This window comes from Homo sapiens, chromosome 14 (assembly GCF_000001405.40).
Source record: "Homo sapiens chromosome 14, GRCh38.p14 Primary Assembly".
NCBI lineage: Eukaryota > Metazoa > Chordata > Mammalia > Primates > Hominidae > Homo > Homo sapiens.
This window is the reverse complement of record NC_000014.9, coordinates 51,515,186-51,542,277: the sequence shown is the minus strand read 5'-3', so window position 1 is coordinate 51,542,277 and position 27,092 is coordinate 51,515,186. Positions and strand designations below refer to the sequence as shown.

Below are 27,092 nucleotides of genomic sequence, written 5' to 3'. Positions count from 1 at the left end.
CTGCTTAATGGGTATAGGATTTCCTTTTGGAGTGATAAAATGTTTTTGAAAGCAGATTGTGATTAGGGTTGCACAACACTGTGAATATACTATTGTTGAATTTATACTTTAAAATGGGAAATTTTGTTGTGTGTATTTTACCAAAATAATAAATGAAACTTTCAAAGTTCAGCTTCCAGAGATCCTATTTTGAAGCACCTGGTATGGGGCCTAGGAGCGTGTAGTTTTAATAAGTACCACAGTAACGTGATGCAGGTGGTATTGGGAACAAACTCTGAGAAACATTGGTGTACTGTTTCTAGGGATATTTAAATTACTTCCATGATAAAAACCTTATACCATATAATCTAGCCAGGAAAATGCCTCAGGGACATCACACATTAACCTTCAAAGTTCCTACCTCTTAATATGGGAAACCATTCACAACTTTAAATGACACAACTCCAGGGCCTAGTTACATAAAAACACCTTCAGTCTCTCCACTCAGAACTCTTCCTGTGACATCTGGAGTCACAATTCTGTTCCCTGATCAAGGTTAATCTCTCCTATACTCTTGACCTCATTCTTTTCTTCTCTCTCATGTTTTCAGCAATTTTTGTTTCTAGTGCTTCCTCCCTTCCACCTAAAAACCATGCCTACATGTCTGCATCCTAACAATGGGTCTCCCTTAACCTTTTCTTACATCCGTACACAGCCAAGATCCTTGAAAAGCCAGCAGATGTTTTGTCTCTCAGTTTTTGTCTTCCACCTCCTTACCCTACCCCGCCATTGAATCCTAAGAGGAGCGCTGTGAGATTTATACTGTTTTTATTTCATTTTACTATAGGGAAAATAATAAGCTCTACCAGGATATAAACTCCATGAGAAGAGGAGTTTTGTGTGTTATTCATTGCCCTTTTCCCAGAATCTAGATGAGTACTTCAGTCAATGCTCAGTGAATATTTATGGAACCAAAATAGCATGTACATGATAAGCAAAGCTTTGAGAATAGAGGAAATCTAAGAAAACCCAAGTTCAATGATCTAGACCCATTTAGGTTGTAACAATTTGCAAATTTTTTAACTCAAGTAAAGTCATCCCAACTTAGAATTCTGTCTCTATTTTGTCCCAGGCAATATTGTTAGGAAGCAACTGGAAACTTGCCTATGAGTACTCAGAAACCTCTGCTCTAAGACACCCCACATCAACATAACTGATAGGGAAATTGCAGAGTTCAGAAGAAGGGACTCAAGTTGTAATTTTGTTCTTTTAATAGAGAAGTATTCTGAAATAGGAGGAAAGTTAAGAGAGGGTACTTCTTGCATGGTGTTTACCTTAATATATTAGTCTAAAAAAGTAAATGGATTTGAGTATTGTGCTTTCATAAACTTCCTTTTCCATTCTTGTTTCAATATGAATTCCTAGTATTTTAAAATTTCCTATGACAAAGCATTGAAAAACCATGACTAGTAAGCTATATTTTTCACTTTTGAATCATTTTCCTTTAAATTTTATTGACAGCAAAACAATTATTTCATTTATTTGCTCATGGAATTTATTTATAATAAATTATCTACTCCAACTAAAAATTAAGTACTATAAATATTTGTATCTTGTGGCACAGAAGATAAAAAGGATGAGCCTCAGGACAAAATAAAAAACACAGGAAGTGAGCTTACTTCACAGGGCTGTAAAATCTACTTTGCAAAGCAAGTTTGCCATGAATCATCTTATTTAAGACATTCTGTCCAATTTTCATTGAGCCTCTACTCTAAGCCAGGCATTGTGGTAGCCAATGAAGACCCAAAGACAAAACAGCACGGCCCCTATCATGATGGTGTCGCAGTTTCACAATACAATATTTCACCACGGGTAAAAGGTCTCAAAACACCTGAAGCAAAACCCCATTTCAGATGCATAAGGAACATCTAAAATATACATCAAAGTGAAAAATATCTACTTCCCAACCTTCTTTCTCTGTATGCAAACATTTTCCTTCTGTCCGGCCTGACAACTGGAACATGGATTCCAAGAATAGGGCAGAAAGTTTGTCACACACCAACAAGTGGCAGCCCCACCATATCTTGGCTCCATTTTTTTGGCCCCTGAGCTAGTCTTCTCTTGGTTCCCTATCACCCTCAATGTTTCTCCTGATTCTGGGGATCTATGCCATCACCAAAGCACTAGAATTTCAATTAAGAAAAAAAACACGTTCTAACTATTGCCACTGATATTTATAAAGCATTCAGGGTGGGCAATAGTTGGAAGGCTCTAAAGCATTCTTTTTAAGACAGCCAGCACACAAAGTGTGCCTTTTGTTGGAGTGTTCCAAGAGAATATTTTTCTTGCTAGTCACTGGAACAGCTGGTTGGGGATTTCCCTATTTTTGTTAGAGTGAACTAATTTGGTAAGGAAAGTAAATGAATCTTTTCAACTCCCCACCTTCCTCTACTCCCCCCACCCTCATAAGTCAGCTGTACCTCAGGAAAGGTAAGAAGCAGACAAAGAAGTCATCTGCAAATGACTCAGATGGCTGGATTTTTCTTTCTGGGTTTCCCACCACAAGGCAAGAAACTTTAGTAGAGAGAGAAAGGTGGGGGTTGGGGGAACCACGTTACTGGCTACATACTCAATGCCTCTGCTCTCCCAGACAATCACATTCCATTCTGGAATGTAATTGCCCAGAAGGAAGCCAGAATTGGTTACATAGATGGTATGCCCAACTTTAAATTTGCTCCCCCTACCAACCTGCCCAAAGTTCTTTGTGATAGGTGCATGTTCCCAATGCTATCTATGTATTCATTTTTTTCTTTCAAAAAATGCTTGTTAAGCATCCACTATGTGTCAGGCACTATGTAGATGTTGAAAAATATAATAATGAGAAAAACAGAGGCTTACTGTCTGCTGGGGAAATAGACATTGGTCAAAATATAACACAAATGAGCTCATAAGCTAAGGTAAATGTTGAGAAGAAACACAGTACTATGATGGCTTCCCAAAAGGGACAGACATGGACTGAGGTGGGGGCAGCTCAGGGAGGGAGAGGTGAAAAATAGTTAACTAGGTGGAAGAATTCAGAAGGGTGACATCCAGACAGAAAACAGCATGTGCAAAGGCCCTGTGACAAGGGGGAGCTTAGTGTGTTAGAGAAATTGAAAAAAGGTCAAAAACGGTGGAATTCAGAAATGAGGAGAGTAGTGCAAAGTGGAAGCAGGACCCATCAAAAATAGAAAAAGCCCATTAAAACCAATACCTGAGTCCAACCAGGTTTTGCCATACAAGATCAATATATAAAAGTCCATTGTATTTCTAGATGCTAGCAATGAACCATCCAAGAACGCAAAACTCCCCAAATTGATCTACAGATTCAACACAATCCCCATCAATATCCCAGATTATTCCTTTGTAGAAATAGACAAGATAATCCTAAAATAGACAAGATGATCCTAAAATGAAAAAGCAGAGGACATATTTCCCAATTTCAAACCTTACCACAAAGCTGTAGTAATCAAGACATTGTGGTACTGCTGTGAAGATAGACACGCAGATCAATGGGGTAGCACTGAGAGTCTAGAAATAAACCCTATTATCTTAGGTGGCTAGTTGATTTTTGGCAAGGGTGCCAGGAAAATTATGGGGAAAGAATAGTTTTATAATAAATTGCGCCAGAACAACTGAATATCAATATTCAAAAGAATGATGTTACACCAATATCTCACACCAAATACAAAGATTAATTCAAAACATATAATTGACCTAAATACAAGCATTAAAACTATAAAGCTTTCAGAAGAAAACAGGAGTAAATCTTCCTGTTCTTGGATTAGGCAATGATTTCTTAGCTATGACACCAAATTCACATGTGACAAAGGAAAAGAATTGATAAATGGAACTTCATTAAAATTAAAAACTTTTGTGCTTCAAAGTACACCACCGAAAAAGTAAAAAACCCACAGAATGGGACAAAATATTCTCATATCATAGATAAGTCAAGTGAGGGACTTATAACTACAATATATATTCTTAAAACTCAACAATAAAAAAGACAACCCAATTTTAAAATGTACAGAGTTAACACATACAAAAATATGAATCTAGACACAGACTTTGTACCTTTCACAAAAATTAACTCGAGATGGATCATAAATCTGAAAGTAAAATGCAAAAATATAAAACTCCTGGAAGAAAACACAAGAGAAAATCTAGATGACCTTGGGTGCAGTGATGACTTTTTAGATATAAGATCAAAGCCATGGTCCAGGAAAGAAATAATTGATAAGCTAGACTTCATTAAAATTAAAACTTCTGCTCTGTGAAAGATACTGTCAAGAGAACAAAAAGACAAGCCACAGACTGGGAGAAAATATTTGCAAAAGACATATCTGATAAAGAACTGTTATTCAAAATACATAAGGAAATCTTAAAAGTCAGCAATAAAAAACGAACATCCCAAGTGAAAAAATGAGCAGATGAAGAGACACCACACCAAAGAAGATGTACAGATAGATGACAAGTGAGCATATGAAAAGATGTTCAAAATCCTACGTTATTAGGGAATTGCAAATTTAAACAACAGTGAGGTACTATTACACACATATTACAATGGCCAAAATCCAAAACACAAAACCAAATGCTGGTGAGGTTGTGGAGCAACAGGAACTCTCATTCATTGCTACAGAGAATGCAAAATAGGATAGCCACTTTGGAAGACAGTTTGGCTGTTTCTTACAAAACTAACTTACAACACTCTTATCATATGATCCAGAAATCACACTCCACGGGATTGACCCAAATGAAATGAAAACTTAAGTCTACATAAAATTCTGCACATAGATGTTTATGCAGCTTTATTCATAACTGCCAAAACTTAGAAGCAGCCGAGGTAGCCTTCAGTACGTGAATGGATAAATAAAAACTGTGGTCCGTCCAATACAATGAAATACTCTGCACTAAAAGCAAATGAGCTATTGAACCATGAAAAGACACGGAGGAAACTTCAATGTATATTACTAAGGGAGGGAAGCCATTCTGGAAAGGTTACATGCTGTATGATTACAACTAGATGGCACTCTGTAAAATGCAAAAGTACAGAGAGATCAATGTCTGAGAGAAAGGAAGAATAGGAAAAGCACTAAAGGGTTTTGAGGAAAGTAAAACTATTCTGTATGATACTACAATGGTGGATACACATCATTGTACATTTGTCAAAACCCATAAAATATACAACATAAAGAGCGAACTCTAATATACACTATGGACTTTGATGATAATGTATCTGTGTAGATTTATCAGTCTTAACCAATGTACCACTCTGGTGGGGAATGTTGATAGTTGGGGAGACTGTGTGTGGGGGGCAGGGGGTAGTCAGGATATCTCTGTACCTTCCTATTTTCCTGTGAACCTAAAGCTGCTTTTTAAAAAGCCTATTTAAAAGAAATCCACCCAAACATATTAAACAAACTCCATTATCCATATCACTCCACCATGTAAAGTGTTCTCCCTAAAACTGCTCAGCTGGTTTATGAATGATCATAACTAGAAAGTAAGATGTTTTCTAAAAACTTTTAAAAATATGGACAAGAGGCCAGGTGCGGTGGCTCACGCCTGTAATCCCAGCAGTTTGGGAGGCCAAGGCGGGCAGATCACTTGAGGTCAGGAGTTCGAGACCAGCCTGGCCAACATGGTGAAATCTCGTCTCTATTAAAATACAAAAATTAGCCAGGTGTGGTGGCAGGCACCTGTAATCCCAGCTACTGGGGAGGCTGAGGCAGGAGAATCGCTTGAACCCAGGAGGCAGAGGTTGCAGTGAGCCAAGATCATGCCATTGCACTCCAGCCTGGGGGACAAGAGCGAGACTTCCTCTAAAAAAAATAAAATAAATAAATAAATTAAAAATATGGGCAAGAGGCCAGCTGCAGTGGCTCATGCCTGTGATCCTGGCAATTTGGGAGGCTGAGGCAGGAATGATCACTTGGGGCCAGGAGTTCAAGATTAGCCAGGATAACATAGTGAGACCCTGTGTCTACAATTTTTTTTAATTAGCTAGGCATGGTAGCATGGGCATGTAGTCCCAGCTACTCAGGAGGCTGAGGTGGGAGGATCACTTGAGCCAAGGAGGTGAGGCTGCAGTGATTCATGATTACACTAACACACCCTAGCTTGGAAAACAGGGTGAGACCCTGTTTCTCTCTCTCTCTCTCTATATATATATATATATATAAAATATATATATAATATAATGCAATATAATATAATATATATATGGGCAAGGATTTGCATAGACATTTTACCATAGGAGAATAAACAGATGACAAGATGTGTTTAATGATAAGGTCAATAAACACATGATAAGATGATCAACATCATTATTCACAAAAGAAACACAAATCAGACCCACTTCATATCCACCAGGAAAGCTTAAAATAAAAAAATCAGACAATAATAAGTGTAGACAAGGATGTGGATAAATTGGAACCCTCATACCTTGCTGGTGGGATTGTTAGGTGGAGCAGCCACTTTGGGAAAGTTTGTCAGTGTTTCAAAACATATAACCCAGCAATTTCACTCCAAGAGAATTAAAAACATGTATCCACACAAAGATATGTGCATGAATGTTTATAGCAACGTTACTCATAGTAACCAAACAATGGAAACAACCCAAATGTGCATCACCTGGTGAATGGATCAACAAAATGTGGTATATCCACATCGTGGAATATTATTTGGCCATAAAAAGGAACACAGTGCTAATATATGCCACAACATGGATAATCCTTGAAAATATTTTGCCAAGTGAAAGAAGCCAGTCTCAAAAGACTATACATATTCCATGTCCATAATAGGCAAATCTGTGGAGATAGAAAGTAGAAATGTCCAGAATAGGCAAATCTATAGAGCAGAAAATAGATTATTGGTTGTTTAGGGATGGGGTGAGGGGAGAATAGGATTATGATTGGTAAACAGTATAGGGTTTCTTTTTGAGGTGGTAAAAGTGTTCTAAAATTGATTGTGTGATGGTTGTACGTACTGTGAATATATTTTAAAAACCACTGTATTATATACTTTAAAGGGACAAATTTTATGTGTGTAAATTATATTTCAATAAGCTATTTTTTTTAAGTGGGGCTAGAAAGGTTTGAGGACCCTGGAAGCCATGAGAGTACTGAGTTTCCCTGATTTCAATCAAAAGATGACTGAATAGGCTCAAAATGTCCTTGTAGCTCCCTGAGCATTAGAAGAGAAAACTGCAAAATATCTGAGTAGTTCACTTTTGGTGGGGAATGTGGGTGAACTGCTCACTGCTCTTCCCTTTCCCTGAAAGTCTTTATCTCCTCTTGAATCTCACCTTGGGTCAACAATACATCTAATTGAGCGGCTGCCCCGGGGCCCTGCGTTCTCCACTGGAGAGTACCTGGCACATACTTCTAGTCCTATCTGGACTCTGGTTCCTCTGCCTGGCTCATCAGCTTTTTGTAAAACAAGCAGGAAAGCATAACCTTTGGGGTCACACAAATGACTCTGCTGCACAGCTGAAGTGCAGGCCTTTGTCCAACTGCTTCCTGCCCGACTTCCTGTGGTAGCAGATATTGATTTTTCTCATGACAAAGCAATTATTTACCTGTTCTGGAAGGCTGGGAATTTTAATCCCCAGTTTTAGAGGAGGGAAAGTGACACTGGCAACCTCTTTAAGTAGAATGTTATAGAAGGAAAAGCTAAATAGTGTGACAGCTGTCTGGGCAAAGAAGAGAGAGACGGTGATATTTACATAGACCTGATAGGTATTGAAAATAGGAAAGGTAGAAAGAATGTTTTAAAAGGAAAACTTCTAGGATTGTATCCAAAAGAAACAACTTCCTATAGCTAGGCTCTAAGCCCTTGTCCAATAAAAAAATCAACCATCATAAGAAACAACTCAATCTCCAATCATGCAGCACTGTTGTAATTAAGCTTTGAGGACTGGTGACTACATCACACATTACCATGGGTAGAGTGACAAAATCTTTCCTCCCTGTAATAGTGATATTATATGGGTAAAAGCTGCTTATGTGGAAGAAGTTGGTTTAAGCATGTGGTTCGAGAAAACATAACCAGTTAGTAGACTTTAGAATGAATTGAGATCTACAGCCGTTTGAACTATGTGGATGGCTGTCCCTACAGGCAGACAGGAGCAGGGTGAGTTCCCTGTGTACCCCCACCCTCCATAGACTTGACTCCTTGGTTGTGCAAGGCACTGGCAGAGCTGCCCAGGCACATGCAACAACCAGTCAACCCAAGGCTGTGAATTAGGTCCTTTCCCCACCCACCTAGAAGCTGCAATTCTGCTGTTCCCCAAAAGACTTTCTTCCTATTGGTCTTACTATAATTGAAAGAGATAAAAGGATCCACATTGAAGAAAGTAGCCCACCAGGAAAACTGCAAGTGAGGGGAGTTATTGTCAGTGTGCAGTGACAAGAACTCACTAGGCACAACCTCAGCCAAGACCCAGAGACGCTCTCTGAAAGTGGAACAGGGGTGGCATCCTAGGAGGAAACAGGAAACCTGGGTCTAAGGGCCTGGCAATGTCATCTTGAGACCACGACATTTATTGATAGGGTTCAGAAGGGTATTTCTTTTTTACATTTATTGATAGGGTTCAGAAGGTATTTCCTTTTTAAAGGATGGCATTAGTAGCTATGACAAGCCTGGTAGAAATGTCTGAATGTGATTATTTCCCAGTTGCTGAATGAGTTGAAGATCATCAACATTTGGTGAGACTCAGTACTAGGTCAGGAATTATATAAAATGGAGAGTCAGCCGTAATCTCTATGCATTAGACTCCTGTAAAAACACCAGTGTGTTGCTCAGACTCTGAGCTAATAGCCTCAGGAAAAATAATTTATGCCATTCAGGACAACTCATACAAGTGTAATGTGGAACCTGTTTTATCCAGCTTTTTTTAAAGGCAATTTTTCTGGAAATCAAACCACTCTAAGAAATAAATCCTTGTAAACATCTCTGAGTAATTGCCAAAGCCTCTCTAGCAGAGCAGTTCCCTACCATCAGCCTGCCCCACCCCAGAAAAAAACCCAGACTCCTCGAAGCCCAGCAAAAACCTAAGTAGGTCTTGGCTTTGTTCATCTGGCATTGTAATTCCTCTGAATGGTCCTCTCTTTGTCATTGGGCTACACTTAGGTAAAATCAAGAGAGCTGCAAAAGGTATGTGACCTAAGCACTTGGCAAGACATGGAGGAGGCAGAGACCATTATTGGTTGTAGGACATAACATTTTCTGGACTGTTCTAAAGATACATTATTCAGAGTGAGCTAATAGCAGTATTGCAGCCCTCAAAGGGCTGGATGACATTGACAACATTCACTGACATTCCACTAAGTGCCAGGCCATGTGCTGAGCACTGGGTTGACAAAGATTTACAAAATGGGGTTGAATGAGCTTTAGGATAACTTAGGACTGAGCTCTGTCTCCTTACTACTATTACTGTTGAGAAGGTCAGTTTGTGGGCCAGATCTGAAGCTTGTAATGCAAAAAGAGAAAAATGATTCTGAAAATAATGACAGAACTAAGTACAAACTCTGTCCTCAAGAGTTTCAGTCAATGTAGGTGGTTGTTTATATAGGAAGGACGTCTTCAGACTCAGGAAATTATGAAATAAGCACACAAAACAAAATTTTTACTAATTTAAGTCATGTTTTGTGTTAACACTTCCACCTGGGTGGAAAATTGGCTCAAAGACATATGACTGCTAATATAATCAGTAGCAGGTGATCAGTGAGGTATCATGGACCCTGGGGTGGGCACAATATATTTTATTCATTTTCTCTTCAATCTGAATGAATATAATTGTTGTCAGCAAAATCACAAGATGATTCCTAGACACAATCCCAGAATATGAAAAATGCATATTTAATAATTTCTTTTTTTTTTTTTTTTTTTGAGATGGAGTCTCGCTCTGTCACCCAGGCTATAGTGCAGTGGTGCTATCTCAGCTCACTGCAAGCTCCACCTCCTGGGTTCACGCCATTCTCCTGGCTCATCCTCCCGAGTAGCTGGGACTACAGGTGCCCGCCACCACGCCAGGCTAATTTTTGTGTATTTTTAGTAGAAACGGGGTTTCACCATGTTAGCCAGGATGGTCTCGATCTTCTGACCTCGTGATCCGCCCACCTCGGCCTCCCAAAGTACTGGGATTATAGGCGTGAGCCACCACGCCTGGCCCCAATAATTTCTTTTAAAAAGCCCCAGAGAAGAAAAGATGAATAATTTTGACAGATATTCAGCGATGTGGTGGTAAATGTTTAACAACTGACTCCCTGGAAAAGAAGTATATGTTTATTATAAATTTTACTGATATAATAGATGGATAGCACATATACAAATGCTAATACAAGCAATAAAAATTAACTGATACTCAGAGAGTGCTTTTGTTGATTTTTGCCAGTCTCATATCCATAGCCAACTTATGGCTGCAATTGACAAATGAATGTATTTCTGATATGAATATTGATTGGCATTTTCATTTATGTTAATGAGTAAAGCAAAAGTAAAACAGCAAAGACCATGAAAGAACTTCACCTGTTCCACAATAACATGAGAAAATTTTTTGTCAAACTGAACTTGATAATAGTTGTTGAGTACGGGAAGAATATTTCCTCAATTTTTTGTGCTATTCATTATGTAATGGCTGTAGATACAACACATTTTTCTTTTGAAGTATGTTAGACCCACAGTTAAGTGATAATGATCAAAACTAATAAACATTGGCACCGTACTATTAACCAAATTGCAGACTTTATTCAGATTATCAGGGTCCCAAATTGCATTTAGTTGTCATTTCTCCTTGTGGCTGTGATAATAATACCTCAATATGTCCTAGTCTTTCAGGACCTTGATACTTTTGAAAATAATGGTCAGTTATCTTGTTGCTTATCCCTCAATTTTGGCTTGTTTGACATTTTCTCGTGATTATGTTAAAGTTATTCATTTTATGCAAGAATATTTCAGAAGTAATGTGCCTTTCTAAGCACATCATTATCAAGGGGTACATGATGTTGATATATCTTATTACTGGTGATAACCTTAATCACTGCTAGGATTTAAATGTGTCCCCTAACAAGCATGTGTTGGAAACTTAATCTCCAATGCAACAGTGTTGGGAGGTAGGGCCTAAAAGAAGGAGGTGAGGTCATGAAGGCTCTACCATTATAAACAGATTAATGCCTATTATGAAAGGGCTTGAGGCCACTAGTTTACTCTTTTGCTCTCCCTCACCCTCTTTGCCCTTCTGCCATGAGAAGATGCAGGAAGAAAACCCTCACCAGATGCTGGCGCATTGGACTTACCAGCTTCCAGAATCATGAGCCAATAAATTTGTGTTCATTATAAATTACCCAGTCTCAGGTATTTTGTTATAGCAGCACAGAATGGACCAAGACAATCTCTTTGTTAAGGTGGTATCTGCCAGAACGCTGAACTGTAAAGTTACTGTTTGTCCTTTTCTAATTAATAAATATCTTGCAGCCGGGTATGGTGGTTCCTGCCTGTAATCCCAGCATGTTGGGAGGCTGAAGCAGGTGAACCACTTGAGCTCAGGAGTTCAAGACCAGCCTAGGCAACATGGTGAGACCCCATGACTACTAAAATTAAAAAAAAAAAAAATAGCTGGGTGTGGTGGTGCATGCCTGTGGTCCCAGCTACTCGGGAGGCCGAGGCAGGAGGATCACTTGATCCCCAGAAGCAGAGGTTGCAGTGAGCCAAGATTGTGCCACTGCACTCCAGCCTGGGTGACAGAGTAAGACCCTGTCTCAAATTAAAATAATAATAATAGTAACTCACAAATAAATAAATATATTGAGGTAGATGCAACACACTTTTACATTTAATCTACCTTATTAATATCTACCTGTTACTTTCTTAAGACTACATAACCAACAAAACAATAAATCTAACTCTGATTTGTGGCATTTGCCAGTTTCTGTGGTATAAATACTCCAAACATGGCCCCATTTCAGCTTCCAGTGTGACGCCACGGAGAGTGGAGCTGGGAAGAGAGCTACAGTAACCCATCACTATGTAGTATGTCCACCATACAGACAGAATCGATGTGAGTAACTTCAAGAACATAGGTAATAGCAAAATGCAGTAAAATAATTAAGAAATGATTAACTGAGTATTTACTACCTTTCTTTAGAATGTAATGAACATTTACATAATGTAATTTTTAACAGTGGCTGTGTTTAACAACATCCTCAAAACATCCTGAGATTTAACAGCTGTCTCTCATGAGCTTGTAGGAGCTGGCTCCAGCTCACAATTGCAGGCATTATTGCCTGTAGCCAGATGGCCACCAAGGGCATCTTATCACAAAGCTGGGAATGAGAACTAAACTCTCTCTTAGATTCTTGTCACAAGCCATACAAACTAACTGATACTCAGAACGTGCTTTTGTTGGTTTGTGCCATTCTTTCATCCATAGCTAACTGATTTCCAGTCACAGGAAATGTTCACTTTAACTGGAAGAAAGGGTAAAAATGGCTGTGTGGGTTCTCTGTTATGAGATATCACCTCAGGTGCTTTTGCCAGGTGAGATGTTTAAGACACGTGTCTCTCAAGGTAGGGTGGTCTATCGGGAGATGCTGGGACTAGGGAACAAAATTCCCAATTTTATATTTACTACTTGCTTATGTAGAAATTTCAGTTCTTTTTCCTGATCCACTAGGGTGAAATGATTGCTACTGGATATATAAGAAACACACAGATAAAAGCAATATTGATAAAATGCCTGGCCAGCACAGTGCCTGAACAATAGTAGTTGTGCTCGCTCTCTCTCTCTCTGTGTATGATGATAAATATGTGTGTTATGTATTTTTAATTAGCAAACACTTCTGTAGTGCTTATTAAACATCAACCACTTTACATGCATTCACATGTATGAGCTCATTTAATTATCACAGCAATCCTGAAAAGTAGATAGGCATTTTCATGATTATTGTTATTCTCTTTTTATAGATGTGTCAACGTAGGCACAGAAAAGTTAAGAAACTGGCCCAAGGCCAAAAAGTTAGTAAGAAGTACAACTAGGATTTAAGCCCAAGAAGTCTAGCACCATAATATATGCTTTCAGACACTATAAAGTGTTTTCTTCCCCATTTAGAGGAAAGGCATGAACTGAAAACACAAAACACCATGTTTCTAGGTCTGCAGGGCTGTTCTGTCAGCATGTCCCCCAAGACCAACTATTCATCTTGTGTGCCTTGGAAAGCGTGACTTATGATAGTTATAGTAAGTGTCTGCCTGTGAGAGGAGATATGGGGCTCATAGACTGGAGGATGCTTTCCAATTAAGTTAACAGAAGAAGAGAGATTAGCACCCTTTGATGGGAAAGCTCTACTGAGCCTTAGTGGCAGGAGGAAACTGGGGGATGTTAAGGGGTGAGAGGTTGTTGATTCTAGGAAGCTTCCTGGGAGCTCTTTGATGCACTGGCTAGTTTTGCTGGAAGATTTCTCTGCACGGACATGGTTCAATTCCATTCTGCTCTGATATAAAAGAACCACAGGATATCAGAACTATCAAATGATTTCCTCTTTGTATTCAAAGTCAGAAAAAGCAGGTACTAAGACCAGTGATTTTCAAACTTTTTTTTTTGAGCAAACACAAGCCTACCCTCTTTCCCCAATGCAATCTCACATGGAAACCCAATATATAAATGACAGAGATAAAAGTAAAACCATTGGTTGTAGCTGGGTTGGGGATCTTGGTGTTTTACCTTTGGGGACCTTCTAATGGGCTCCCCAAAATTCTGGAATGCAAGGGTTTAATTATACATACGGAAGATTAGAGATATAGCTAAAGTTCCTCATCTTATAGTTGTGGGAGCCCAAAAAGCAGGAAGGAAAAGTGATTTTTCCAAGGCCACAACAGCAGGCAAAACCAGGTGGAAAATCTGCCTATTCCTAGTGCTCCTAGTGCTTTGTGCTTCACATTGTAGTATTACTGATTTTGGTGATCTCTGAGGGCCAGCTGGGGAGAGAACACAAGTTGCTCTACCCCTCAGCTGGATGATCCACTGGCAAAAGTGGGAATTGGCAACTCCTAACCACCAGTGGGGTTTGCCACTGAGCTGAGTCTGCTTTCTTTCTTGTTTTGTTTGTTTGTTGTTTTTTTGAGACAGCGTCTTGCTCTGTCACCCCGGCTGGAGTGCAGTGGCATGATCCTAGCTCACTGCAACCTCCACCTCTGGGGCTCAAATGATCCTCTGGACTCAGCCTCTGGAGTAGCTGGGACCACAGGCATGAGGCACCATGCTCAGCTAATTTTTCTAGTTTTTGTAGAGATGGGGGTCTCACTATGTTGCCCAGGTTGCTCTCAAACTCCTGGGCTTAAGTGATCCTCCCACCTCAGCCTGGCCCCACTGAGCCTCACTGAAGGAGTCCTTCTGTGTTTGCAGACCAGATGCTGGAACAGAGGGATCATATTTGACTGCAGTGGAAGCCATGTTAATGTATGCCTCACCATCTGTCTCTCATAAAGGTACAGCAGCCTTCCCTCTTTATCTGGCTGAAAGGTACAGTTAGTTTTATTGTCAGAAGCATGAAAAATCTAGGACCACTTGGATGGGCTCCTATGGGATGCACAGAGAAGCTGCTGAGCATAAAGCAACTCTGACATATTTTGCAGGGGTTTTCATAATTCATGAAACCTGTTATTCAGTGGAGGTTTTTCTAGAGACCCCATTGGGAATGTTGTTTCTATGAGAAGCAGGGAAAGGAGGAGAGAGTACTATTTTCCTTATGGGTCTGCCTATCTGATCTATTTGTCTCATCTACCCAAATATTTATATAAGGCTATCTCTTGATTACTAACTTGCCTAATGGTAACCTGTTGCCTGGCCCCAACTATGGATGTTTGGGGACAAGCTGTTTAGCCATTCCCGTCCTCAGTTTATTCATTCATGTAAAGGACCAGTCTGGATGTTGTCCTGAGGAATATGTTGAGTTAATGTTTATAAACCATGGTGATGGCCTCAGATGAAAGATGTTCAGTGAACATAAAAAACTCTGCTGTGATGACTAATGCATGGCCTTTGCCAATGAGATTATTTAAATAATGGAACAGTGGCTACTTCTTTAATCATATAGAGTCTTTCCGAAGTTTCAAAGCACTTTTCCTACACTAAATCATGGCAAGTGTTATTTAATCTCCACTTTAGAGACAGAGAGGTTGAAGCACAGTAATGTGTGTACTTTACCCATGGGCAGGGGTTACATTTGATTGTGGATACATTATCAGGGCTACTTCTTTCCTCTCTTCCTTCTAGGACATCATTCCCATACTCATCTACCTTGTCCTTCTTGCCAGGTATTTAGTAATATGTCTTCAGCTGAGACATTCTCCCTGAGGAAGATTGCAGAACCCACAGGAAATTCATTTAGGAAGACTTTACTGAGGTGCTGAAGATAGAAAGATGAGAGACAGAGTCCATGTTCTCAAAGCCCTTACAATTCAACGAGAGAGGCAAAGCGGCAAGCCTGTGGTGTGCTGAGCACTGTGACAGGTCCGTGAGTGGAAACAGAGACAGTATCTGATGAGAGTGGTGGAGAATGTAGGATAATATAAAAAGTGGTTGTTGTGTTTGTTTGCAAATGGGCTTGCTCATGGGTCTTAAGTTGGGTTGCCTCAGACAAGAATTTAGTGTAAGAGGCTTATTTGGAAGGTGAAAAGAGCATTATTAGGGGACTAGGAAAAGTGAGACAGCAAAGGGACAGGGACCTATCACTGTGGTCAATGGGAGCTCATTTCTGGGGAAACACAAACTTCATAGTCATCCCACCCAAGGGGCAAGGGAGCTGGGATGTTTATATTCTAACTCCTGTCAGTTATTGATTGGGGGATTCTCCTGAGAATATTAATTCCCTGGTATTTCTTGCTCATGAAGTGGGTATCAAAGTGGGTTCCAGAGACCAGAGAAAACCTTCAAACAAAGAGGTGGCGGCAGGTGCAACTCCTGTACACCGAGGTGATAAGGGTGAGGAGACATGATCTGGGGACAGTACTTGCTCCACCTTTAAAGGAAATCATTGAGTGAATGCCAAGTACTTTGTTCTCTCTTGCATCCCTTCAGCTCTGGTTTCTAGGCAGCTGTTTAGAGTTCAGGCTACAGAGCATAGTCCCTATCAAGAGCAGGGCAGCCCTGGGCGAGGACTTGTTAAGAAGCGAAGATCAATTTATGGCTTACTACTCAGACTTGTACAAGACACAGCTCACTGGTATTGTTCTCCAGTGTCCCAGAATAGATGTCACTCCTTAGCCTCCTTCCGGATGCCTCCTGTGCCCTGCCAGGACTCTGAGCTCACCCCTTTCATGGTGGTTTTAACATCTTGCACTTGTATGGTTACTCATTCATCTTCTTCAAAGGACTGTCAACTTCCTGAGGGCAGAGTCTGTGCCTCACAGTGGACCCCCTCAAGTGACTCATGTGACCTTCTTTTAGAAGAGTAAAAATAATGAATCTTTTCTATTTTACAACTTTCCAGTTGTAAAAAAGTGTGTGTTCCAGAAGAAATGGAAGATGAGTTGAAAGTAGTAAGGTCAGGGGTTATGGTGATGCAATTAACACAAAATGAGGAGGCAGGAGAAAGGGAGTTCCACCAGAATATTTACTAGGGATTCAAATTAAGCAGTGAAAAGTATAACATCTTGTAAAGAAAGAAGGGTCTTTAAAAATGCTGGGTGTAGTGGCTCACACCTGTAATCCCAGCACTTTGGGAGGCTGAGGCAGGCGGATCACAAGGTCAGCGGATCACAAGGTCAGCAGATCAAGACCAGCCTGGCCAACATGGTGAAACCCCATCTCTACTAAAATACAAAAAATTAGCTGGGCTTGGTGGTGCATACCTGTAGTCCCAGCTACTCGGGAGGCTTAGGCAGGGGAATCGCTTGAACCCGGGAGGGGGAGGTTGCAGTGAGCAGAGACCTCGCTACTGCACTCCAGCCCGGGTGACAAGAGCAAAACTCCGACTCAAAAAAATAAATAAATAAAAATAAATAAATAAAGAAGGGCCTTTAAAAAACAAGTCTGAGCTTCATTTTCCCTTCTGTTTGTACTTAAAAACCTTTATCCATCCATCCATCCATCCATCCATCCATCCATCCATCCATCCATCCACCCACCTATCATCTGTCTCTATCTATCTATCTATCTATCTATCTATCTATCTATCTATCTATCTATCTATTCTATTTGTCTGTCTCTCTCTCTCTCTCTCTTTCTCTCCATCCACCCACCCACCCACCCAACACACAATCCTGGATTGTGTGTTTTTTAATAGAGAGATACAAAAAGAAAAAGAAGTAAAAATCTTTCTGCACAAAGTTAAATTAAGTTTAGCTTAAAGCTGCATCCTTGTAAATTTGGCCTAAAGGCTTTTCTGAACATAGTGAACTGTACCTAATTGGATAAACAAATAGACTGCAACCTACTCTTGCATCAATCACTGAGTTTTGGCCAATCACAAGTGGCCAACTGTTCAAATAAGGAGAACGCCGAGCTATAACCAACCCAGTTGTTTCTGTAACTCACTTCCATTTTCTGTATGTCATCACTTTCCCTTTTCTATCCCTAAATTTCCAACCATGTGGCAGCACCAGAGTCTCTAAACCTATTCTTGTTTAGGGGGCTGCCCAATTTGCAAATCGTTCTTTGCTCAGTTAAATGCTGTTAAATTTAATTTGTCTAAAGTCTTTCTTTAAACAACAAAGAGACCCCCCCCGTCATAAAAATAAAAAAGTAATGTATATGAAAGAACAGCAAATCCAATGGTAGAGAATAGTACAGAATGGAAAGGACCTCTCCTTGCCCCCAGAGGTCCCGCTCCCCGCAAAACACCTACTAAGGTCATGCATAATTCCTTCTAGAAAATAAATACGATATAATGATAAAATGATAATACATAATATTTATTGAGTGACTACTATGTTTTGGCACTATGCTAAGATCTTTATATATATTATATTTTAAAATCTTTATAAGTTACCTTTTGACCTCCAATTTACAGAGGAAGGAGGTGGGGCACAGAAAAATAAACCCACTTGCCCAAAGGACATGCCTAGTAAAGGGGAGAGGCAAGATTTGAACTTAGAAAGGCTGGATTCAGGGTCCAGATTCTTAACTGCAAATCACATGCATCTATGTGTATATTTTTGTACATAAGATATGAGATATTGTGTATGTGTGTACAAAAATGATCAACTATAAAAGAGCAAACTGCATGCATGGTCTAAGCAGCTGGGCCATTTCCCATACCCTGCATTGTTCTGGAGGCTTTATCCCTGATATTGCTAGCACAAAATCATCTGCAAAACACATTTAAATCATATTTGTAATAACCATATGCTTTCCACCATAGGCATTTTACTATGCACAATTTGGTCAACAACACTGTTATAGAGCACACTTCCAAACGTGTAACACTGAATACAGAATGCTTTAATAAATCTGCTTTGAAATTTAAATTGGCCCTAAATTGCAGATGTTCATGTGTTCAGTAGCTCATTTCACAAGTAAGACTTAGGTGCTAGAGGCCTCCTTGACCTATGCATGAGTTATCATGTGTTAGGGGAGTTCCAGAGCAAACAATGTGGGAAGGACCCTGAATTTGTCACCATCCTATTCTACATCACAAAGACCAGATGGCCACGAAAGTAAGATGGCCAGACAGCCAAGCAGCATACACTTACAGGAGCAACCATGTCACGAGCACTGGGTTAGATGGCAAGGCATCACTTGCATGGGTTTCTGTCTTTGAGTTCATAGCTGAGTTCATAATCCTCAGCCACAGACAATTGCTTTCCAGCTCTATTCAGCGTTGCCCCAGTTCTGCATATGTGCCTTCCAGGACCACAGAGGCTAAGGGGAAGGCTCATCTGGTCATCGGCTCTTATCTTGCCCCACCAAGGCACCTTTTTTTTCTGCCTGTTTTTCATGCTGGGAGGTAGCATAACATTTTATTTTCACAAAATCATTCTGTTCAGAAGAGCTTAGAAGCTATTTCCCCAAGGCACTAAGACTTAAAGAAAAACATTATTTTTCATTCACTTTTGTAAATTCTGCTTTTGTCTTCAGATAATCAAATAGTCAGCTTGTATAAATACATCATTTTATGTTTAAATGTTTTTTTCCTGATTATGAATTTGTACACCCCTATTGTTGAAAATTTAAAACTACAGAGAGGTTAAAAAATAATAGTTCTAATTCCCAGAGATGATTAGTGTTTCCATTTTGTTGTATTTCCATACAGATTTTAATCCCATGCAGATCATGTCTATAACCTATATTTTTGTAAAATGTGAAGCATAAAAGGATTTGCATGCCATCTTTACACAGGTGCCATGCTAATCTCCCCATATTGTTCCAATTGAGTACACAGGCTGCTGAAGTAAGTGCTGTACATAAAAGTTTATATTATGTCTTGCATTTTCAATGTGTATTATATTTTAACTTTGTCCAAAGTAGGATTTCTTTTAGGTCTGACTCCTCTAGGCCAAATCTAATTTGCTGTAGCTGCTGAAGACATTTCCAACATAGGAAGAATTTTCAATCCAAAAGAAAATGCAACATTCCCTTTTCAAATTCCCAAAAAGGGACACTTGTGCAAATTTGTCAAATCCATGATATTTTTATGATGCTGAGGTGCAGATACACATGACTGACTTTTAAATTCATGCTCCATTTCCTAGAGCACTTTCTTTTAAAAGTGGAAGGGAAAACAGGCATTTTCATTATGTTGCTGCCCCTACCAAAACATGGTGCTACAGGGTTTTATAATAGCAATATGGTAGACAGAAACCTAAACAACAAAGCTAATTGAAAAACAGAAAGCCTATTTGCAAAGGTTAAGCTTAAATTGACCATCATTTTGTTATTTTACCCGTGCCCCTGTTCTTCAGATTTATGTCATCACATGTAAATAACCACATGTAAGATACACAGCTAAAAATGATATTGTTTACATGTCATTCATAACCCAAAAATTTTGAGATTAAGACCAGATTACTTTCTGGTATTTAGAAATAAGACATTTTACATAAGAATTCACTTATGGTTTGATGTGTGGTCTTGAATAAATCAGTATGAGGTATGTTTAAGGTGCTTTTAAAATTCTGCTAAAAAACAAATCTAAGGAGCAGCTAAATTAAGAATTCTATCTTTTCACTTTATGTTTCCAGAGATGAGTCATTTAAATGACCTTTAATCCTGGTACATTTTAAATGATTACTACACTTAAAAGTAATTCATTCTATACCCACATTTTCAATTACATTTTAAGTAAGCTCTGTGCAATGCTCTGAGAAAGGGTTACATAAATATGTAGCCTGAAACCAGATGTGACCACAAATATGATTTGTTCAAAGCTAGGAATTTATGGTACATAAATATCACTTCTGCTCATCACAAATTTATCTTGGTCAGTTAAAGAAGAGAAACAAAATTTTAGGGATGAAATAAGAGCTGAATTCCACAATATGTATTAAGCCTCCTGCATGAAAATTTATAATCCCAATATAGCCCTGCTAGCCTTTTTTTTTTTTCCTGCCTTTCTTCTTCTTTTGGTTGGGGTTAAGACCTACTTCTTGCATAGGGTTTTTGCATTTAAGTTTCTTAACCTGCCCGCGTCTATCAACAAAGCAATGCATGCTTCTCTTCCATGAATTTAAATAAAAATGACACCAGTCTTTTTTTTTTTAGAGCTATACATTCTTTACTGTTCTCTACTGAAAGACAAAAGACATAAATGTGTAAATGTTTTCTAGAGATTTAAGTACATTGTGTTGCATATTCTCTGAGATATATCACTATATGACTGTTAAAAGAATATATGGATAAACCTCCTTTCAATTTATATACTCCAATCTCATTTTAGCTATTTATATTCCAGTAAAATAAAAATACTTTAATACAATTTGTATATAACATAAATGTTTTGATGTCGAGTTTTACTTTGGTGTATTTATATATGTTCTTTCATGTCAGCTTTTAAAATTAACCTTACAGAACTACAACTTACATTGAATAAAATACACCTATACTACTGGACAGTTTCACCAAATGTATACGTCTGTGTGACCATCTCCACAGTCAAGATACAGAACATTTTCGTCACCTCAGTAAAGCTCTCTTGAATCACTATATAATACCATAATCACTTCCCCCAGCCCCAGATAATCAGTGATCTGCTTTCTATTACTATAGATTAGATTTGTCTTTTTCAGCATCATAAAATGTACGTTCTTTTGCATCTATGTTTTCTTAATGATCAGCATAATATCTTTGAGATTTATCCATGTTGTTTCATAGATGAATAGTTCACTCATTTTATTTTTTTTATTTACGTATTTTTGAGACAGGGTCTCACTCTATTGCCCAGGCTGGAGGGCAGTGGCATGATCATGGCTCACTGCAGCCTCGACCTCCTCAGGCTCAGGTGATCCTCCCACCTCAGCCTCCGTAGTAGCTGGGACCACAAACACGTGCCACCATGCTTGGCTAATTTTTGGCTAATTTTTGAATTTTTTGTAGAAATGGAGTTTTGCCATGTTGCCTAGGCTGGTCTCAAACTCCTGGGCTCAAGGGACCCACCTGCCTCAGCCTTCTACAGTGCTGGAAGAGGTGAGCCACCGTACTCGCCAGTTTACTTGTTTTAACTGCTGATTTTTAATTTCATGGTATGGATATATCACACTTCGTATATTCATCACCTCCTGATGGACATTTCGGTGTTTCTAGTATTTGACTATTAAGGATAAAGCTGTTATAAACATTTGTGTACAAATTTTGTGTAGACATATATTTTTACTTATATTGAATGAAATATCTAGGAGAGGAATTGTTGTATCATAGAATAATACTGATTAACTTGATAAGAAACTTCCTTTCTCTTCCAGATTGGTAGTACCATTTTACATTCCTATCAGCAGTGTGTGAGAATGCAAGTTGCTCTGCACCTTTTCTAATTTTAGCCATGTATAATGATATTTCATTGTGGTATATAATTTGTGTTTCCTCGATGACTAATGAGGTTGAACATTTTCTCATGTGTTTTTTGGCCACTCATATATCTTCTTTGGCAAAGTATTTGTTGAAGTCTTTTGCCCATTTTTAAATTAGGTTGTTTGTCTTTGTATTGCTTAGTTGTAAAAGTTCTTTATATACACCTGGCACAAATTTTTTGACATATATATGTATTGTGAATATTTTTTTCCCATTTTGTTGTTTGCCTTTTCATTTTCTTAATGGTGCCTTTCACAGAGCAGTTTTTGAAATACCATTCCTTAGGGCACAATGGGTACATCCATATACAAACAAGGTTTGCTAATGCGTGGAGTGAATGTCTCTTAAAATTCAGTGCCAAATCAAATCATATTGCCCATTTTATAGTGACTGAAATGTATCTGTGGCAAAGAGTCCCTGGGCTTATCTAACACAAGACCTACTGGTGATAGGGCCCCCAAATTTTGTGCTACCAGGAGTCTCTGCCTCATTCCTTTCTTATCTCTCCAATACCCTTCCACAGAAAGTCTTCTTCACTGCACAAAGTCAGCAATGAGTACAGACACTATTTCATTACAGTGTAAGGATCACCATGACCTCCTTGTTGTAGTGGAGAAAGTGACTGAAAAGTTGGGTTTGTCCTGGATTTCAGGAAGAATAGGAATCTCTAAGTTAAAAAACTCAAGCTTCTTCTAAGCTCTCAAAATTGGAACTGAATGAGTTTGTCCTTTCTGCTAGGAAAACTAACTCTCAGAACACTGATGAACTATATTTTATTCATTTCTTTCAGAAAATGTTTGCTAAAATGTGGGCCGGGTGCAGTGGCTCACACCTGTAATCCCAGCACTTTGGGAAGCCGAGGTGGGTGGGTCACCCGAGGTTAGAAGTTCGAGACCAGCCTAGCTAACACGGTGAAACCCCACCAAAATTAGCTGGGTATGGTGGCACCTGCCTGTAGTCCCAGCTACTTGGGAGGTCGAGACAGGAAAATCACTTGAACCCCTGAGGCGGAGGTTACAGCAAGCCAAGATTGTGCCACTGCACTCCAGCCTGGGCGACAGAGTGAGACTCCGTTGGGGTGGCAGGGGGCGGGGGGTGGGAAGAAAAAAGAAAAGATTTGGGAAAACGTACAACATCCCAAGCACTGTGTTAGAAATGCAAGAACTATCTAGGGTCCCATGTATTAAATCATTTAGTTTATTGTTAGTGAAACAGTGAGCATCTTGAGGACAAGACTATCTTGTTCATTTCCTACTGCACTCAGTGCTGACAAATCGTTATGTATTAAATTTAGTTAATGACTGTATGCATGCATGAATGAAGTGTCAAAGGCTTGGCTTGCTTGAGTAATTCTGAAGCTGTTGGCTGTTTTATTCAGAATTACATGCATAATTTGCTATAATAAGACAGCTATAATCAAATAGCCACAGTCACTCATGGTAAAACAATGCTATGGTGGCAACAAGATAATCCAAATCTCCCAGCAATATCCCAGGTGGGAAGTCAGTTAATACTTGGAGTAAGGCTTGTATCGTTTTGACTTTTAGTGGTTAAAATTTTCCAAAATGAGAGAAAATGCACTGGACCTCAGAAATGAGAAAGGTCACAAGGAAAATACTTCCTCTTTAGATTATATCAGAGGTAAAATTAATAATAAAAAGAAGACTGACCACCATTATAATAGTATTTAGTACAGTTTATAAATAGTGTCATATGCGTTTTCTCACTGACTCCTTATAACACCCCTGGGAGAAAGTTACAGGGAACATTAGTACACTTATCCCCACTACACAGAGCTGGAAATGCGCTTCTGAGAATATAAATGTCTTGCCCAAGATTTCACAGCTCAGCAAAGTGGACTAGCTGGGACTCCAGCATTCTTTTTCGCTGCCCTTAGAGAAAAATCCCCTTGCCTACAGGGTGCCATGGATGGTGGTCTACATCTAAATCTACATTTCTTTTGTGTCCTTGATTTCTAAATAATATTCCTTTGTTGTGCCATGAGATGAGACAAATTGTCTTTACTACAGTATATACTTCATGGTACACTTTGATTCATATTAAATAAATCTCAAGTTTTGATTAAGTTTTGATATAATGCTTCACCAATTCCACGGGGATAGGTGCCTTGGAAGCATGACTCCGTGTGAAGTCTCAAATTCCTTTTTCTATGCAAACGTTATTTAAAATAAGTTAACTGGAATATGCTAAGATAATTTTTTTCTCTTAGACAAAATTTCCTTAATTGTTTGTATGTTATACTTGTCCGAGAGGAACTCCTTTGCTGAGACTACTCAAAAATTTCATTGGCTGGGTCATGCTTGGAGGGACAATGAGGCTTGTCAGCTGTAGACAGTCACTTGGGAGGGAGGACTGAAGAGCTACTCATCACCCCCGTTCAAGCTTCCTAGTAGTACTATCTGTGAGTTAGCACATCAGGCCATACCGGAGAGCCAGCTTGTATTTGGAGAGTGGTCTTCAATTTCAAGCATGGCCATGACTCTGAAATAACTGTGGCTTGTTGTTAGTCTTGTAGAAGAATTACATTTCAGCCCATTGCTTTGCAGAAGATGAAGTGTATTTGCCTCTGCTTGGATGACAATGGTATAATTATAGGCTTTGTAATTGGGTCTTAAGGAAGGAAAACTGATGTTTTTCAGGATCAGAGCTCGGTAATTTAACAGAACTTGAGACTCTATTCTTCCCCACCAACAGTGGAGAGTTATGACTGAGAAAAACACAATTAAATTTATCTTACTCAAACACCTACATTTCTAGATTCTTATTGGTTTCTATAATAGCTACACAAAGGGTAAACAGCTCTCTTTATTAATGCTTCACTAAGGATTTTTATATCTATGTGACAAGTGGTGCATTCTTTGCACAGAATAAATACTTGGAGCCTTGATTCCAGCTGGTCTGGATTGGAAAACTCATTACTGCTCCTAGCGTGTCTGCCAGCAAACTCCTCAGGGGAGAGATACAGACTCGTATGTATGGAAATAACCAAACCGGATTGGTCAACTTTTATAAATAAACCATTGGAAAATGTAATTTAGAGGGAGGAGTATGTCAATTACAGATTGTTTCCTTAATCACTTAATCATTTCTATTATTTCCCAGTTCCAAATTTTAGGCATTTTTCATAAAAATAACACTTAAAGTATACAACAAAGCTCATCATTCAATTTTTTATAACAGAACATCTATTTGTAATGATAAAGGGAATTGAAAATGACATTACAATTTGGAGGCAAAATTATAAGACTGTTTATAACCAAGGCAATTGACAGCCATCTTGACAAAGTTCTAGATTAAAGTCACCATCTCTTGACTCAAAGATTGGCATCAGATTAAAAGAGGCAAGGAACTGTTTCCAGCAGGGAAGATTAAAACACAATTATAAATTCATTTATCTTCCTTTGCCCAGGGACTCGACATCCCATAATACCATTTGCATAATGGGTTACTTTGTTTGTTCCCTTTTAAATGTTCAATTTGGAACATTTTATTCTAAGTGCCATCAAAATAAATAAATAAATAAGCTGAGTTTTAAGCCCACAGCTTTTTACGTTTATTTGAGACTAAGAATCAGTAGAATTTGCCTGTTTTCAGGGAAGCACAAGCACTTATTTTTTTACATACTCAAGATGACAGGGCTCTAAAGGGTTGTGAATATAGACAAATGGCAGCTAGAAATTCACTTCATCTATTTCACTCTGAAAGATACACACATGTGCACACACATATACCCCCTCACTCTGGTCCTTTCTGAAGTTATGTGGAGATGCCATTTTGTTTGTGTTGGCTTCTCTCTGCCCTGGCTAACTGTCCGAGTCTGATGTCTTCTACTCCAGAGTCATATTCCCAAGTGAATGCTTTAATCAATGCATCACTGCACTCTTTCCTCCTACTCGTCTCTAATCGGATGGACCCGCCTTATGTCTAATTACCTAGATAGCAAAAAGCTAACCTAAAAACCAGTCCCTGTAAATGGAGAATTTATCAACTCAGGTGGAACACATTTTGTTTTTTTGTGAGTGTGTCTTGGGATGCATAATAGCTGTGTTTAGTCCTTAGAAGAGAGAATTCAAGGCAAGGGGTTCACCAGTGGGCAGCTCTTTGGCAGGAGGAGAAACTTCCAGCTTCCCCCATACACCATGTAAGCACTTTCCCCTCTCTCCACAGAACTTGGAGATGAAGTTAAGATGCACAGCAGCCAAACTGCCCTGATGTTCAGGGGTTCAGAACACCCAGAAGGTTAGAAAGTGCCTCCTTCTGGCCTTCAACCCCTTTGCATTACTAGAGTAACTACTTTGCAGTGTCTCAGCTCCCTTAAAGCCCTGCTTTTCTAAAACGTCTCACATTCTATTTGTATTGGAAGCTGGCTTTCCCTTGGATTCAAACCTCATTGGCTTGGCTCTAGGTAAAGATTGTACTCCGAGTTAATGAAAAAAAACTCAACTTCCTCAATGGTTCTCCCTGACACAGCTATTCAAGTCCAACGGATGGGTCTCCTTGGAAACATCAGTAGCAGCTCTGTTATCCTGTCTCCTGAAGATGTTCTTTCAGCTCTATTAGCTGTTTATTCCCAGAAATTGGTGTCCTGGCTACTGCTGGTCACTATAAAGACCATGTAGCAGGAAGAGGAAACCTATCATCAAGGGGCAAGACAGGTGGTAGGAGGTAGGCCCAGGTGACATGGAGTTTCTGCCACACCAAGATACTGTGTCCAGGGAGCACAGATAGTTCCATATGGGATTCCAACAAATGGGGGCACCAGTTGCACTAGAAGTGGGGGCCTAATATATACACAGAGTCCAGCCATGGGGAATTGAAGCAGCAGATATACTGACGTTCAGGGAGGCAGCCAGTAGGCATCAAAAGGTGATGGATGGAGAATAGAGGTCCTGCCACTGGGCAAAGGGACTAGTTAGAGATAGTCAGGTCTGAGTGGTAGAAGGGGACTGAGTTATGTCCTGGAGTTAGCATTCAGACACAGGGATGAAGGCAGAACTACGATCTTGGTAACGGGAACTGGAGTGGGGCAATACAACTGCCTTGGTATTTAGAA

General features: G+C 39.3%; 1 protein-coding gene, 1 long non-coding RNA gene and 1 pseudogene across 13 annotated transcripts in view, besides 2 other annotated features; 1 reads left to right on the top strand and 2 right to left on the bottom strand.

Moving 5' to 3' along the window:
* FRMD6 (FERM domain containing 6) overlaps positions 1–27,092 on the bottom strand; it is a 334,297-nt gene that overhangs the window by 188,450 nt on the left and 118,755 nt on the right. The window lies entirely within an intron of this gene.
* Positions 1–27,092, top strand: part of FRMD6-AS2 (FRMD6 antisense RNA 2) — a 145,441-nt gene that overhangs the window by 57,675 nt on the left and 60,674 nt on the right. The gene's annotated exons all lie outside the window — the stretch shown is intronic.
* Positions 6,887–8,086: an enhancer, noted in NCBI's record as "MED14-independent group 3 enhancer chr14:52000910-52002109 (GRCh37/hg19 assembly coordinates)". NCBI's record gives its function as "activates an origin of replication core promoter dependent on BRD2, BRD4, P300/CBP and CDK7 cofactors, and independent of MED14, by STARR-seq in HCT116 cells {active_cell/tissue: HCT116}" and the evidence as "EXISTENCE:reporter gene assay evidence [ECO:0000049][PMID:35650434]".
* Positions 7,333–7,627: an enhancer, noted in NCBI's record as "tiled region #6575; HepG2 Activating DNase unmatched - State 8:EnhW, and K562 Activating non-DNase unmatched - State 24:Quies". NCBI's record gives its function as "activates a minimal TATA promoter and a strong SV40 promoter by Sharpr-MPRA in HepG2 cells, with weaker activation in K562 cells {active_cell/tissue: HepG2 | K562}" and the evidence as "EXISTENCE:reporter gene assay evidence [ECO:0000049][PMID:27701403]".
* Positions 19,311–19,414, bottom strand: RNU6-1291P (RNA, U6 small nuclear 1291, pseudogene; annotated as a pseudogene).